General features: G+C 39.1%; 1 protein-coding gene across 11 annotated transcripts in view; it reads left to right on the top strand.

Moving 5' to 3' along the window:
• The window catches only part of LEF1 (lymphoid enhancer binding factor 1), a 121,385-nt gene that overhangs the window by 75,633 nt on the left and 29,826 nt on the right, over window positions 1–15,926 (top strand). For 6 of the 11 annotated variants that reach the window (XR_007057925.1, XR_007057927.1, XM_005263046.4 and 3 more), the window contains exons 4-8: window positions 4,043–4,175; window positions 9,854–9,944; window positions 11,631–11,714; window positions 13,686–13,808; window positions 14,918–15,080. Coding sequence is in view for 8 of the 11 variants with exons in the window: in XM_005263046.4 (XP_005263103.1) it covers window positions 4,043–4,175; window positions 9,854–9,944; window positions 11,631–11,714; window positions 13,686–13,808; window positions 14,918–15,080 (594 nt within the window). In the remaining 3 variants the exon portion in view is untranslated. The remainder of the gene's footprint in view (window positions 1–4,042; window positions 4,176–9,853; window positions 9,945–11,630; window positions 11,715–13,685; window positions 13,809–14,917; window positions 15,081–15,926) is intronic. The other 5 variants (XR_007057926.1, NM_001130714.3, NM_001130713.3 and 2 more) reach the window with 1 other exon arrangement.

Raw genomic sequence — 15,926 nt, 5'->3', positions numbered from 1 at the left:
GCCAAAAGGATCGAACTTTTCTACTGCTGATTCCACTGTATTGGGCAGCCCAGGGGGTTCATTCCCATTGTATTCAGTGTCCCTGCGTTACTGGAGTTGTGTAGTGAGCAGGACTGTACTATTTTATACAGTAGTCCTGGCTTGACCTACCCATTCCCTGGTGACCTCTGTTTCTCGGCTTCCAGTCTGTAAAATTAAAATAAGGAACTAAAATAAGCTACTAAATATACTTTAGGTTTCTTAGAGCTTAAACATAATAAAAAGGCATATACTTAGATACACACTTTCTCCTATCACCAGGTTCATTTTCTTCATAGTACTTGATGCTGCCTTTTCAGATTTTGCTTGTCTTTTTTTTTTTTTTTTTTTTTTTTTTTTTTTTACATATTCATTGTTTCCAATACCCACCCCCTGCTGCCTGACGCCACTTCCAGAGCCCCAGAAAGTAAGCTGCGAGAATTAGAGACCTTATCTGTGTGTTGGTCATTGGTGCTAGAATAGTGCTTGAAACATTTTAGGTGCTTAATAAATACACACATATGCACACGGGCATGTATAACTCTGCATGTGATGTAGCCACTTAATTTGTCTACAAACACTTAGATAGTTGGTTGATTATTCTTCCGCTTACCTACTCCCCACAAGAAAATATATACCACATTTTATTAGGAGATTAAATGAATGGAATTAAGAATGGTTTTACTGGCTGTCTTAAAACTTAACCAAAGTAGCAGTGCCAGGGTTCTCACTTTGTGTGTGCACATAGTGTCAAGGGGCAGTAACTTGTGAAATCAGAGGAAGCCTGCAGATTTTTGGGCTGAGGAATCTTGACTGTGATGATGATGTGCCACATATCCGCAGTGTAAGTTGGAATCCACTTTGTTCTGTTTATATACATAGTGGAGATGGTTGGCAGGAAGCAAACCATAACCCTTGGAATTCTGCTCACACATGCTATTGAAATTTCATATTACTTTTATTATTTGGCCACAAAAATGGACATAATCCTTGTTGGCTTTAACACACCTACTAGTACTGCTTTCGCTATCCATCTTGCAAAATATAAGACAAGGCCAGGCTTAAATTAAAATCCTCGGCTTCTTATCTCTTTCCCACAGGAAAGCAAATCTGTGTTGAAAACCGTAAAATTAAGAGGAGAGCAAGGATAGCATAATTTAGCAAAAATTCATGGCACCAGATTCTGAGCTATATGACTGGAGGGATAGGTCAGACATTAAGAAGATGCTGCCTGCTAATGCAAGTTCCTTAAGGTGGTGCTCTGGAAAGAAAGAATATATCCAGAAGATTTCCACAGTGTTTACTCTTTATAAGTACCCTAAGAAAATATCTTTGTAGATTGTTTGGCAATTATGCTTATTTATGAGACTTTTAAAATGAAACTGAAAGCCATTATTCTAAAGTATATTTGAAATCTATCGATTTTAACATTTGGGCGTTGAGATTTGTGTTTCCATTTTCAAAAGAGTTCATAATAAACTCCTCCTATCCTCACATCTACCCACCCCCACTTCTAGCATTCTAAATTCCATGTATTTAAGAAGCTTATTCTGTTATTTGGAAAACTGTGTCATTAACACTCGAAAAGCATTAGAAGATTTGTTTAACCTTTTACACATTTATATGCATAGATGTTTGTGCTGAGGTGTGTAGAGAAAAATTGTGTGGCTATGATAATGGCACTCTATTTAATATACGCCAAAAAAGCTATATGAGCTATGCAAGTTTTGCCATTAAAGAAGAGCTGATAATTATAAAATAGGGAAAATCTAGTATGGAAATTATATCATTTTCCAAAAAAAGTGTGATTTTTTTTTCCTTTTTTTTCCCCCCCCCGTAAGTTTCTTTTGGATGGAGGTTGTAATGATAGGGTATAAGAAGAATTACTAATTTTTCTTATAAGATAGGGTATAAGAATTCTAATTTTTCTAAGGGGAGTCCTTCTCATTGGAGCCACATATTTTTTATGGCTAATTTGTAAAAAATATTAAGTTCAAAATTAGTGTATGTCGTAGGTACAGCCACCATACACAAGTGTGTTTTGGGGGCCCTCTTTAACCATTCAGATATGGACTTACATTTTAAGCAGTTCACATTGTGCAGTTTTAGGCACTTCCTCAAATTTTTAAAAAATATGAATATTTGCTTCAGGAGAAAACTGATTTCACATGCATTTTAGTCAATAATATAGTAAGATCTTACTAATTCAAACTAATTATGATGAAGACATGTCTGAACTAGTGAATTGAGCATAATGATATGCTCAATTTTCTCTTAAATTCATGTTACCCATTACTATAGTGTTTTTAAGTAGAGATTTTCCTGCAACTGCTTTAATTATTAGATTAGTTTAAAATCAGAAACAAACACCTTTAACAGGTATATAATTGTGTTGAGTCCCTTTTTCTTTGGTGAAGGGTTTATTGAGTCTCTTTAAAATGATTCCCCTAGAGAAGTTGTTAATGGGTATAAAAATACGGTTAGATAGAAGGAATAAGTTGTAGTATGTACAGTAGAGAAACTGTAGCTAACAATAGATTATTTAATAGCTAGAAGGGAAGAATTTTAATGTTCACAACACAAAGGAAAGATAATGTTTGAGGTGATGGATATCCCAGTTATCCTAACTTGATCATTCCACCTTTTATACAGGTATCAGAATATCACATATACCACAAAATTTCTACAGCTATGCCATATCAATAAAAAATAAATAATAAATAAATAAGTGATTTTACTAATTAGGTTAAACCTACTTAAGTCTTCTTTATATTTTTTAATTACTTAGTAAGCACTTTTGGGTTGGGGGGAACAACCTTAACTTTGTAACCAAAGTAATCACAGATTTCAAATTGATGAAGTCCAATTAGATAACTTGAATTAAAAAGTGTGACTGTTGACTTCCAAATTAAATAATAAAATGTCTGTAAACAAGTATAAGACATATAAAGTGTGTTAAAATATACAATTTTAACAATTAAAAATATTATTAAAGCAGTATTTCAGCTGGACACGGTGGCTCATGCCTATAATCCCAGCACTTTGGGAGGCCAAAGTGGGCAGATCACAAAGTCAGGAGTTCAAAACCAGCCTGGCCAATATAGTGAAACCCTGTCTTTACTAAAAATACAAAAAAAATTAGCTGAATGTGGTGGCGGGTGCCTGTAGTCCTACTTGGGAGGCTGAGGCAGGAGAATCACTTGAACCCGGAAGGTGGAGGTTGCAGTGAGCCAAGATCACACCACTGCACTCCAGCCTGGGCGACACAGTGAAACTCCATCTCAAAAAAAAAAGACAGTATTTCATATTATGCAGTTCAACTCAAGATTGGAAATTCCTTTTTATCAATTAATGTTTATGGAAACTAGAGAAGCAGAAGATGAACTGAGGAGGGCCAAAGCATAATGGCTAGTCTTGTTTGATTGACAAAGCTATAAAACTCGAAAGAATGGTGTACCATGGTTCTTAAAGATGTACAACATAGAGTTATGAACTCTGTAAGCTGAGGGGATATCAGTATAGGAAATTTATATTTATTGGGTTTAAAAATTTATCCTTTGAATTGGCAATATTTATTCATTTATTTGCTCATTGGACAGTTTTTTGCTTTTTGTGCCAGACATATGTAGTGAATACAAATGTTGTAAAACATTCATAAATTTTGCTGTAATTCGCTCTTTATTGACTTAACCTGAGGAAATAATCTAAAAGAGAGTATAAATATATATGTACAGAAATTCATGCCATATGGAAGAGTAGTGATCAACCTAAATCCCTGAAGAGTCACTGGTGAAATAACTGATAACTCATGAATATCAGTGACATATTCATATATTTGAGAAGTATTTACCATGGAAAAATTCAGAAAAATTCTAAAAGAGACATTTCCACCTGTCCAGGTCTGAAGGTGATTCTTGGGTTATGTTGATGACTGGTTACTGCTGCTGTGTGAATTTTTTTCTTTGGGAGAAAAGACTGGAGCTGGGCATCCATATTAACTATTGACCTTGTGGTTACTTTGCAGTCAAATAAAGTGCCCGTGGTGCAGCCATCCCATGCGGTCCATCCTCTCACCCCCCTCATCACTTACAGTGACGAGCACTTTTCTCCAGGATCACACCCGTCACACATCCCATCAGATGTCAACTCCAAACAAGGTGAGAGTCCCTGTCTTTCCAGGCCCTTTTTTTTTGCCAAATGAAGAGCCAAATCTCATCAGCCTGAGTGACCTTCCAGATGCCAGTGCTCCATGTCACTGGGTGGATCAGAATGTGTTTTTACAAGACAAGAGTAATTCATTTGATAGCAATTCTTTGGAAACACACAAGAATCTGTTACATTTATTATGCATTATTAAAAAGCAGAAGAAAAGCATAGCAGGGCCACAATGAATGAAAATCTTTCATTCACAATGTAAACCAATAGATTGTGCAAATATACTAAAAAGTCAGTACTCTACAATATTCATTTATTTCAGCATGTACAAGATATTGATGCTGGTAATTTTAAAATAGGAATGGGGAAAGTAGGAGATTTATTCTTTTGAATCTCTTTTGGTTATTCCATTATATCCCTATGGTGTTTCATCTTTTGTTATTTACCAGCACTAGGTTACATATTCTACATAATCATTGATGTATAAAACCTCTATTTAAAGTCCAAGAATCGTGAATCTTATTTTACGCCTCTGCATTAATATTTGCTTCTACTTTGTTTATAGAAAAAATATATAGTGCAAGAGGTCTGAAAAATTAAAACATCCTGTTTCTGCCTGATGTGTACGGGTACGAGTTGGGAGTAGGACAGAGAGCTCTGGTGCACCAAGCCTTCTGGTCCCATCACTCAGGGCGCAAACCTCAAGGATGGATTTGCTCTCAGGGTGGCTCGTTCCTCTTTGCATGCACATGCGCACTTGGACTTCAACAGGGTCTTTGAAAGTTCAAAATAAAAGATTTTAAAAAATGTGAAGGCAGAGAACGTAAAGGGGTAAAATTTGCCACTGCCTACATTTTACCCCTTTGTCCATCCCTTTCTGGGACTTACAATGGACAACAAAATTTAATGACTGTGTGAAAAAGAGTGGCATAGAGGCTGGGTGTTCTTTCCACTACTGGTGAACACTTCTAGGTTAAATACTTAACGCTTTCATTTCCCTTCCTTGTTAAAACAGAATGCTTATTTAAAGACTTAGTTACTAGTGCACTAGACTTGAATAGAGTCTGAGTACTTTGAAAAGTTGAGAATCACCGATGCAGACATTTCTAGGTTTGCTTCTGTTTTATTTTTTAATCCTCTGTCCTTCCTCCACCCTGCTTCCTTTAATCAAGAGCCTCCAACAAATTAGGAATGTTCAAGAGTCAGGTCTATGGCTGTATAGTGAGAAAGGGAATTAAGATAGGGGTCTCAGGAAGCAGGCTGAGTTTGAGAGGGAGGACCAGTCTTGGTCGTGGTGAATTTGAAGTGTCTGTGAGATACCCAAGGGGAGACAGGAGGTAGGCCACTGAAACCTGTGGGTCACAATCTCAGACCAGCATCCGAGCAGGAGGTGCACATCTGGGAACCTATTTAGTTGTTAATTATTTCTTTATTTAACAATTAAATAGTGCTTACCCTGTCCTAGGTCCTATTTGAAACTCTTCGAAACATTAACTCTTTAAAAAGAATAAGAAATCAATCATAGTTCAGTAGTTTTTCTCTCAAGAATAATAGGACAGTTCAATTTTTTAATAGTTAAGTTTATAACTGGCTCTCAGTTACGCTTATAGTTTCTCTTCTGTTTCCATCTCCTACTGCCACCCTACCTTGTTTTGCATAATTGTTAAGTTATATCATTGCTTCTCAAACTTTTTTTAAAAAAAAACTCTCCAAAACTACCGAGAAGGGACTAATGGTCATCACCAGAAGTTGTCTGCTTGCAGTTTCTTCGGTCTTTATTTTGTTCTAAAGATTGATGTGATTTTTGTATTCTGGTCCAGACACTATTTGTGCTTGTTTTAAAAAAAGATCCTGTTTTATCCCAGGCCTTGTGTTCCTTATCATCGTGTACTTCTGGAGATATATAAACTCCAATTTGAAAAAAGCACTCACTTCCATGATACTGAGTTTGTATCATTCCAGTTGGGCACTTTTGTTGCGAAGAAAATAAGCTTACTAGATCTCTTCCTTTTAATTCTTTTTCTCTCCTGCCTTAGGGCATGATGGTACTGAGGCCAGAGCTGCTGGTTTCAAAGATCCTAATAGACTAGTTAGCTGTATCTTCCCCCAACCCCTCCGCCTCAGCCAGAAAAAAACAACCGAAGATCATCATATTCACACTTTAACCCTAGATAGAACTATTCCATAAATATAAAATGTTTGCCAGCAGAGCTCATTCTCATTTGTGGAAAAACAACTCCAGGTTAATTTCCTATTAGGGAGCACATTAGTTTTCACGTGTGTGTGTGTGTGTGTGTAAGTGTGTGTGTGTAAGGGACAGTACATTAATGTCAATTTTCTCATTATGTGTCTGGTAAAAATATCAAAAGGAAAGCGCTTTTAGGAAATCCTAGGTTTAGATGTCTGTTTTTATCTATGTGTTACCCATTTTATCCTTACAGATGACAACAAATACTTATACTTTTGCTCCAGGCATTTTCCGTAGTACATATATTAATGCATTTATTCTTCACAACAGTCCTATTCTTATTTTATAAAACAGTAGCAATTACATAACTTCCTCAAAAATGCATAGCTAGTGAGCTGTATATCCATATAGTCTGACTCCAGTATTATTTCACCTATGTCTATAGAAGTTACCTATACAAGTTTAAAAATCTTAAAGGCTACGCTCAGTATATCCTCCAGCACATAGTAAGTGTTCAATAAATACTAGTTGAATAAATGATGTGAAATGTGCTGGGCACAATGTGGTTCATGCCTGTAATCCCAGCTACTCAGGAGGCTGACGCAAGGATCGCTTGAGGCCACGAGTTTGAGGCCAGCCTGGGCAACAGAGTGAGACCCCCTCAGCTCTAAAAAAATTAAATAAATAAAAAATAAACTTAAAAAAAAATGATGTGAAATGTGTCTTCAGTGGCATAGTAGTTGGTGGAGAGACACACACTTCTGAGAATCTTTGGAAATAGGATTTTTAAAGGACAGTGACCTATTTAGAATACTCAGATCCACTTTCTGCTCACATAATGACCTAAGCCACATCATGTATTTGCATGTACATGCCAAGTGGTTGATAATATTGACCCAGCATATGGAATGGGTCTGTTTTAACACTTCTGACTTCACTTGTTTGTTTGTTCAATTGGTCAGAAATATTAACTAAGAGGCTCCTCTGCAGAAAACCATGGTTAGATACATAAATTGGTAAAATGTGATCTTTTTCTCCAAGCAGTATATAAGCTCATGCAGGAAATCATTTGCACAGACTAACTATAAAACAAAATGAAGAGCATCCCAAGTACCACATTAAAAGTACAAATAAAAAAACTTGTAGATTCAAAGGAGAAAGATTTCTCAGAGCTGTAAGTTAGAGAAAATTGCCTATGAGAGGAACATTTGAAAGAAGAGTAGAATTTCTATAGAGTCAAACGCCTAGCATAGGACCTGTCCTCTAGTTCCTTCCTTCTTCCTTCTAGCAGAAGAGTGACATCCAACTAGTTGGTATTTTTTGTTCTGTTGAATCACTTCTGAACAGTATCACTACTGCTGTGTTCTAAGCATGCTTAGAACATGGAGTAGTACGGAGAGTAAGAGTTTAAGCTTAAAGACATGTGACTGCAAGCAAGTTACCTCTCCATGTCCCAGTGACAAAAGTTCAGGACAGAAAACAGATGCCTTAACAGTCACTTGGTCCCTCTAGACCTCAATTTCCACACCTGTGAAATAGAGGAATTAAAGTAGATAATTCAGGGCTGTGGTTCATGCCTGTAATCCCAGCACTTTGGGAGGACGAGGCGGGCGGATCACCTGAGGTCAGGAGTTCAAGATCAGCCTGGCCAACATGGCGAAGCCCTGTCTCTACTAAAAATATAAAATTGGGCATGGTGGCACGCGCCTATATACCTGGCTACTCAGGAGGCTGAGGCTGGAGAATCGCTTGAACCCGGAAGGCAGAGGTTGTGGTGAGCTGAAATTGTGCCACTGCACTCCAGCCTGGGTGACAGAGGGAGACTGTCTCAAAAATAAAACAAAATAAAATAAAATAAAATAGATAATTCAGATAGTCTGTGACCGCTACGATTTTCAAGTTAATAGAATAAAACATTGAAATTTTCACTACATTTCTGATGTTTTTCAGGGTTGGTCAAATTGTATTGCTTTTATTTTATTTTGTTTATCCCCGCGACTGAGCCATCCCCTTACAGACCGTGAGATTTGGGGAGGTATCTGGATCTCAGAGTTAAGGGGGCAGCAAGTTGAAAAACCTCCTCAATGATTCTGATATGTTAAGAATCACCACTGCAAACTCCCCCACCCCAAAAAAATCCTAGGGTAAAAAATTTATGTTCTGCTGTAACCAAAAGAGTCAGTATTTCTAACAAAAACAATTTTTTTGAATAAAGGAGATTTGAAACCATTATTTTAAAAACAGCAAAACATGAGATGATTTAAGGTAAGCCCTCTGTTGAGAAATTAAAGAACTTTTTTCTTTCCCACCTACTTTCTGTAAGAATTGAGAAATAGTTCGTTCTAACTTCAAAGTTGAATTAACACCAACTTTCAAGACAGCACTTCTTGTCATTCCCAATGTGAAGGCTTTCAGTATCTTTAAGATACAAATGAAATTCCTAGGCACTTTAAATAGTAAAAAGCAGAATATTTAAGAAACATCTTCCATGTACTCATCTAATTCCACATATTAGCCAGTATATAATATTTACAGTCACTAAACGTATAATCTGGGTGTTAAACCTTGGAATATGTGCTTGTATATGGAAGTGGTCTTTTAAAGCCATCATTAGCTATGTGAAGACACATCTGTGGCTTTTTTTCTATTCTGAATCACTTTCCCCCAAACACATTGAATCTAAGTTGTTATATTTTACATTTTATGCATTTGTCTTGTCATTTTTTTCTTCTGTACCTAGGGTAAGGTATAAAGGGATGTCACTTGGGACTGGGATTACATATAATCTTTAGGTGGTTTTCACAGTTACAGGGCAGTGTACTCCAGGGACTGTGAGCTCAAGAAACAATTTGGTGGCACTTTCATTTTCTGTGGAATTCAGCTAATCCAGAACAGCTTGACCTTGCAGCCCAGAGGACTCAACTTGATGAAGAGCTTAGACAGAGACCAAATGAATCATATCAAATGTGACCATTATGGGGCTGAAGATGATTCCTAATTAATCTTTGATCCTCTGAGGTGTCACATTTCCCAAATCTATATGTCCATAAGGGAACCAATGAAAATATGAAAATGGCAATTTACCTAATCCTTGAACTTTGTGGCAAGCCATCTACTTACGAAGGGCTGTCATTTTCCATTCTACAAAAAAACATTCTCATTCTATATAAAACAATTGTCTACCATTTTCTTAAATAATGTGAAATATTGAGGGCAAAACAAATAATTTAAAAGTCTATTTTGATGATTGTATTACTAGCAGCATCTTTACTCCTGTAGGAGTTCCTTAAGATAATACTCTCTGAAGGCCCAGTTTTCCCAGATGTTGAAATCTTGAGAAAAGCTAACAAATGGACTCCTGTTCCTTGGATCTGGTGAATAAATATTGTTTCATTCTGAACCTTAAGTATGAATGGTATAAAACATGTAGTTGCATTTCTGGTTAAATATCCTGTGAATCTGTAAATGATACCTCTCTGTTCTGTTTAACAGGCATGTCCAGACATCCTCCAGCTCCTGATATCCCTACTTTTTATCCCTTGTCTCCGGGTGGTGTTGGACAGATCACCCCACCTCTTGGCTGGTAAGAACCTTGCTGCACCCTTCAGCCAGGCATTTGAACACATGTTCCTCCACTTTCCATTCATGGAAATTAGATTTATGAATGGTAACACTTGTGGAGTTGAAGAAATTTCACATCAACAAGCAAGGTGCTAACTTTATTCATTTCAATTTAAAAGATTAAAAAACATACAGACTTTGAAATGGATTGATCCGTTTGCTAATATGGGTAGAAAATGACTGTAGCATTTGCTTTGAAGCTTATAGTTTTATGGATTCCCTTTGTGGCTTTGGGCATTTGCTATGCCTGTACAAAGTTAGTGCTCAGTGTGGTTCTTCTTTTCTAGGTTTTTTAATGAACAACTTATATTTTTCAAAAATGAATTTAGACGCATTGAATATCTACCTTTACTTGTAAGTGGGCAAGTGAGGTAAATGACAAAAATAACTAGAGAGAAATTCAACAATATAAGAGCATTTTTTGGATGTTAATGAAGTAAGCATCCAATTTGAGTTCAGAGTAGTAAAAAACTGATTTGGGGGCCTTCTTTTTTTCTGAATATGAACGCTAGTGCTCTTTATTTTGTTGTTTATTTCTAAAAATATGCTTACTGCTGCCTCCAAAATCTTTTCAATTATGAAGGTGAAGGAAATATATTTTGGGAAGAAAGAATAACATGGTATAGCCTATTTTTATTATTTTATGATTAACCCACAACATTTCCTCCTCCCACTCCCATGCTCTCTCCACTCTTCCCTCTCCAATTCTCCCTCCATAGAAATAATTCTCAACTCAAGCAATTGTTTCTCTCCTTTTTCCACTTGACTCTCTATGTCACAGCCCCCATGTCATTGTACCCCATCTCCCTACCTGGACATCCTTGCATTATCCTTCTTCAGCTAGGAAGGGTCATCCTGCCATGGACAATCCAGCTTTCTCTCTTTTTCTCTCTCTCTCTCCCTAGCATTACATCTCTTAGTCAGTAACTGCTTGAACTTAATTGATTATGCATACATTTTCAAACCTAGATCAATTATTCTGTCTGAACTTAGTGACTTAGGGGCAATAGTCCTGTGCTGAATCGTACCACTGGCAGCTGGAAATAAAGTCTGTGTAAATGAAAAATGAGAGATGTAGAGAGAACAGAGGGAAAAAATGGACTTCTCAGGGTGGAGAGAAAATAATTCCAGTGAATTAATCTTTTATTTCTTGACTTTAACATGTATATGGGGGAAATGGTACAGTGTTTTTAAAATGTTTATTTTTATATGAATATACAGTTTTATTTTCTTCTTTCTTCCCTTGCCTGAAATTCTCAAAGATTCTGATAAAGAAGTCACTCAGCTCCTTCTCTGAAGGGAATATTTCACTATTCTCAGGGTTATGTTATATTCAATAAACATTTAAGTGCTTACTTTGTTCAAAGCATTAATGGGGTTGGGAGAGGGGATGGGATAAAAGAGATGTAATTCATGGATGGTTTGTTTCAAAGTTGAGGGTGGGAGATTTCTTTCAAGGCAAATGACACTTTGATTGGGTGGAGGGTAAGGAAGGGGAACGGTTACGTTTCTGAAACAATCCCGGGGTCTGTAATACTTCCACAAGATTCTGTTTGAATATCTCCCTCTTCTCCCCTCATCCAACTCTTACTACTGGTTGGTAACTGGTGTTTTGTCATTGATGGGTTCCTTTCTTCTGTGACCTCAGGCAAGGTCAGCCTGTATATCCCATCACGGGTGGATTCAGGCAACCCTACCCATCCTCACTGTCAGTCGACACTTCCATGTCCAGGTAGGTGGAGGTGGAAACTGGGGCGCTCGAGGACAAGTTGCTCTTCTCGTGCTTGCATCCTGTGCGCCTCTGCTTGCCTTTTGGTTGGCTAGGAGGGTGCATACCTCAGCCATGTGTCTGTCTGTGCAGTGTGCCTGGCTCCCACACTAGGTGTCAGAGAGAGTCCCGGGTAGGAGCTCTGCGCTGTGCCCCGGCCGGACCAGCCACACCATCGGGCGATGGACTCAGCCTCCTTGGAAAGCGTTGCCTCCAAACAAATTCATGGCCGCCTGACTGTGGGATGGGAACTGTCCGGAAAGCGGACATTACAAGAAGAGTTTGTTTGATTCAAAATATGCCGGGGGTGGGGTAAGGGAGGAGGATAAAACTGGTTTGGTCTCAGCTCTATAATTTGCTTCCTTTGTGGAAAGTTGTATCAGTTTGATGCGGCAGTGTTTGAAAATGCCCAGATAGTCTAGAGCCTTCCTGGATGGAGGCTGTCAGAAGAGACAGAACAGTGCGGACAGGCTGGCAGGCCATACAGGGTGTGCGTCCTAGTGTGTGAATCAGGCCCTGTGTGGACATGGTCATGCCAGCGGAGCTCGGGAGGCCTGCCGCGCCGCACCGAGAAGCTGCTGTGTGTGATGCTTTTGCTTCTGGAGAGGATGGCACTGTGCCCTGTGCTTGATGTACACACACATTTGGGGTGCATCATCTGTGTGTTCGATGTGGCTTTGTCAAGGGAGCTAGCATTATTGTGCCGGAAGTCAAACTGGTGGGTTATTAACTGGTTGTGAATATGTCTTTTTTATATGGGTATAGTATTCAAAGTTTCTGTGGTGAATTACAGCTTTAAAAAAACTTTTTTTTTCAGTGAGTTGTAAATGTAGCTGATTGTGGGAGGAGGTGGAATTAATATCCTTCCCCTTAAAACATATTTTTATACTTTTTAACATTGTAAGAACTATCTGATGATAGAACTCTCACAGGCAAATAACTATCATCATGTATTTTTGCAAGTAATACATTTAGCAAAGCATCATTATTTGGTCAAATATTTGTATTTTTACCATGCTTCCTTCATATTTTAAAATTTGTTTTTGAAAAATATATATCCTAGCAGAGTTCCTTTCAAGAAAAGGAAATTAATTGTGTAGGCTGTGATGAAAGACCTGAGAATGTTGTTCTTGCTGAATTAAATGTTTACTTTAAAAAGTTTGAAAAGCAAAAATTTCTAAAACATATCCAAATTTATCTAGAGAGCTTATTGAAAATACTGTCTTTATTTTATTTTTCTTGCCTGGCAGTTTCCCTCCTTTGTGTTGGCTGGTGGTGGATATTTTAAGATTTTTTTTAATGCTGTTCAAGCGTACTTGGGAAAAAGCCTTTGGCAAGTGTAGTTTTTAACCTTGATGCAGAACTTTATCCTTCCTTTAAATTCTTCTCCTTATTTCTGTTACCAGTTTTCCATAAGATGAGATCTCTGAAACATTAGTGTATTTCTGCACAGAAAATCATTTTGGATGATGTTAATGGAAACCTTATTAAATGGGAGACTGATTCCTATCCGTTTTCTCAGTTGTTCCCTCCTAATATGGATGAGGAAGCCAATAATATGAGAAAATTCCCATTGTGATGGTTTGCTTAGGAATATAGGCAGAGATTTTAAAACATGATGTGTTTTGCTTTCATTTAAAAATCATTTAAAAAGTCAAGTCTTAAATAAAGTGTTATATTTCCAATAATTACTTTTCGTGAAATTCCTATTTCAAAATTGCTTTGCAAGAAAAATGATTCACTTTTTTTTTTCCACCCGAATATAGAAAGAAAAAAATAATTATCGGCCCACTCTAATTTATAGTTAATGCTTCTGTGCGTAAAGATGTGTTTTTACTCTTAGCCAGTAGCAGTTAGTGGATTGCTTTGAAATTCCATCTAGCTTTTGCTGCAACAGCCAGTAGTACATTGTTTTCTTCTCTTTCCTCCTTTCAGGTTTTCCCATCATATGATTCCCGGTCCTCCTGGTCCCCACACAACTGGCATCCCTCATCCAGCTATTGTAACACCTCAGGTCAAACAGGAACATCCCCACACTGACAGTGACCTAATGCACGTGTAAGTATCCACCCGGGCTCTGCTGTGATTGCCTTAGGATACTGAGGATTTCTACACTGTTGCTCCTTTGCAACAGTGATCCTTCACCCCTTTGTGTTGCTGTGAAACTCAATGCACCTCTGCCTTGAAAACTCTGTCCCTGAGGACATTAAGCAGCTTCATTCCTACTGTGCTGATTTTGATTCTGAGGTTGCAAAGGAGCACGGACCCTAAAAGATCATGGGAACCTCACCAAAATGGAAGAATCTTCAGAACATAGGCATTCGAGACTCTTCAGCTGTTTAGCCATTTACCACTGAATTTTCATTTGGTTCAGATTATTGGGGAGAACCTGTTCCTACCTGAGTGAAGTAGATTGGAGGGTTTAATGCACTTTCTTCTGGAAGTGCAGTTACCCTGGCTCCAAGCTTCAACAGCACAGAATTCAAGGGAAAGGAACAAATAAAGCCCAGGATTCCCTGTTGGGCCAGGGTTGTCTCAGACTGTGAGTGCAGGCCTAAATTAATTTACTCTGAAGAGATGAGTAATTAGTTTCTTAATCTAGGTTTTGTGGATGGGAGGGTGGGGGTGAGAGGCAGCATGTGATGGTCCATAAAGCCCTTGCGAATGTATGCAAAGGCAACATGCATTTGTTTGGGGGAAAAGGTCTAAAGATTTATTAGCTTCTCAAAGTGCTCCTTAACCCCCTGCAAAAGTTAAGAACCTCTATTCTGAAAGAGGAATGATCACCTGTGCTGTGTGTTCAGCTTCTTCTGAGGGGACCAGAGAAGTCCTCAGCCTCAGAGCCCATCTGGAGCATCTTCACAATGCCAAGTCCATTTCTACTTGGTGTTCATAGTTCTATAATGACAGGTCCACTTTCTCAAACCAAAGGGTTTTATTCTCAGTCACTGAGTAGATAGGAAGCCCTATTGGATGGGTTGTTTGCCTCTCAGTGTTTTGTCAAATGAGTCAATAACTGCTCTTCCAAGTTGGTGGTGGTCTGGGGTGAGAGGGTTGTCGCCATCCTGAGTGTAGCCATGTGAGCAGGTGCTCTGCTTTTCTCCTCCCCCATCCCTTCCTCATTCCTTCAACCCCTTCCCCTAACCACCACCACCACCACCTTTTAGGAAGCCTCAGCATGAACAGAGAAAGGAGCAGGAGCCAAAAAGACCTCACATTAAGAAGCCTCTGAATGCTTTTATGTTATACATGAAAGAAATGAGAGCGAATGTCGTTGCTGAGTGTACTCTAAAAGAAAGTGCAGCTATCAACCAGATTCTTGGCAGAAGGGTAAGTAGCCGAGTCATGTGTAAATGTTCATGGTAGCCATGGAACTGCTTCATGAAAATCTGCCCCAATTTAATCCCATATCAGGTGGTCATAGAATGTGTTTGCACTTCAAGATATGATATGATGCATTTTAAAGAATTTTGATAACTGTTTTTACTGTTATTCTTTTTTTTTGAGACAGCGTCTCACTCTGTTGCCCAAGCTGGACTGGAGTACAGTGGTATGATCATAGTTCACTGCAGCCTTGACCTCCTGGGTTCAGGCGATCCTCCCACCTCAACCTCCCGAATAGCTGGGACTGTAGTCGTTGTGCCACCATGCCTGGCTAATTTTTTTTTTCCAATTTAAAACTTTTAATTAAAAAGTAAACTTTAATGTTGAAAATGCAAACTTGGGGAGGGCAGGAAGATCACACACAAGGCTGTCACTTCACACTTGGAGGGTTGCACAGAGGCCGGGCAGAGGCGCCCCTCACTTCCCAGATGGGGCAGCAGCCGGGCAGAGGCGCCCCTCACTTCCCAGATGGGGCGGCAGCTGCGCAGAAGCGCCCCTCACTTCCCAGACGGGGCGGCAGCCGGGCAGAGGCGCCCCTCACTTCCCAGACGGGGCGGCAGCCGGGCAGAGGCGCCCCTCACTTCCCAGACGGGGCGGCAGCCGGGCAGAGGCGCCCCTCACTTCCCAGACGGGGCGGCAGCCGGGCAGAGGCGCCCCTCACTTCCCAGACGGGGCGGCAGCCGGGCAGAGGCGCCCCTCACTTCCCAGACTGGGCGGCAGCCGGGCAGAGGTGCCCCTCACTTCCCAGACGGGGCGGCAGCCGGGCAGAGGTGCCCCTCACCTCCCAGACAG

The sequence above is a fragment of the Homo sapiens genome, chromosome 4 (assembly GCF_000001405.40).
Source record: "Homo sapiens chromosome 4, GRCh38.p14 Primary Assembly".
Lineage (NCBI taxonomy): Eukaryota > Metazoa > Chordata > Mammalia > Primates > Hominidae > Homo > Homo sapiens.
This window is presented reverse-complemented; position numbering and strand designations above follow the sequence as displayed.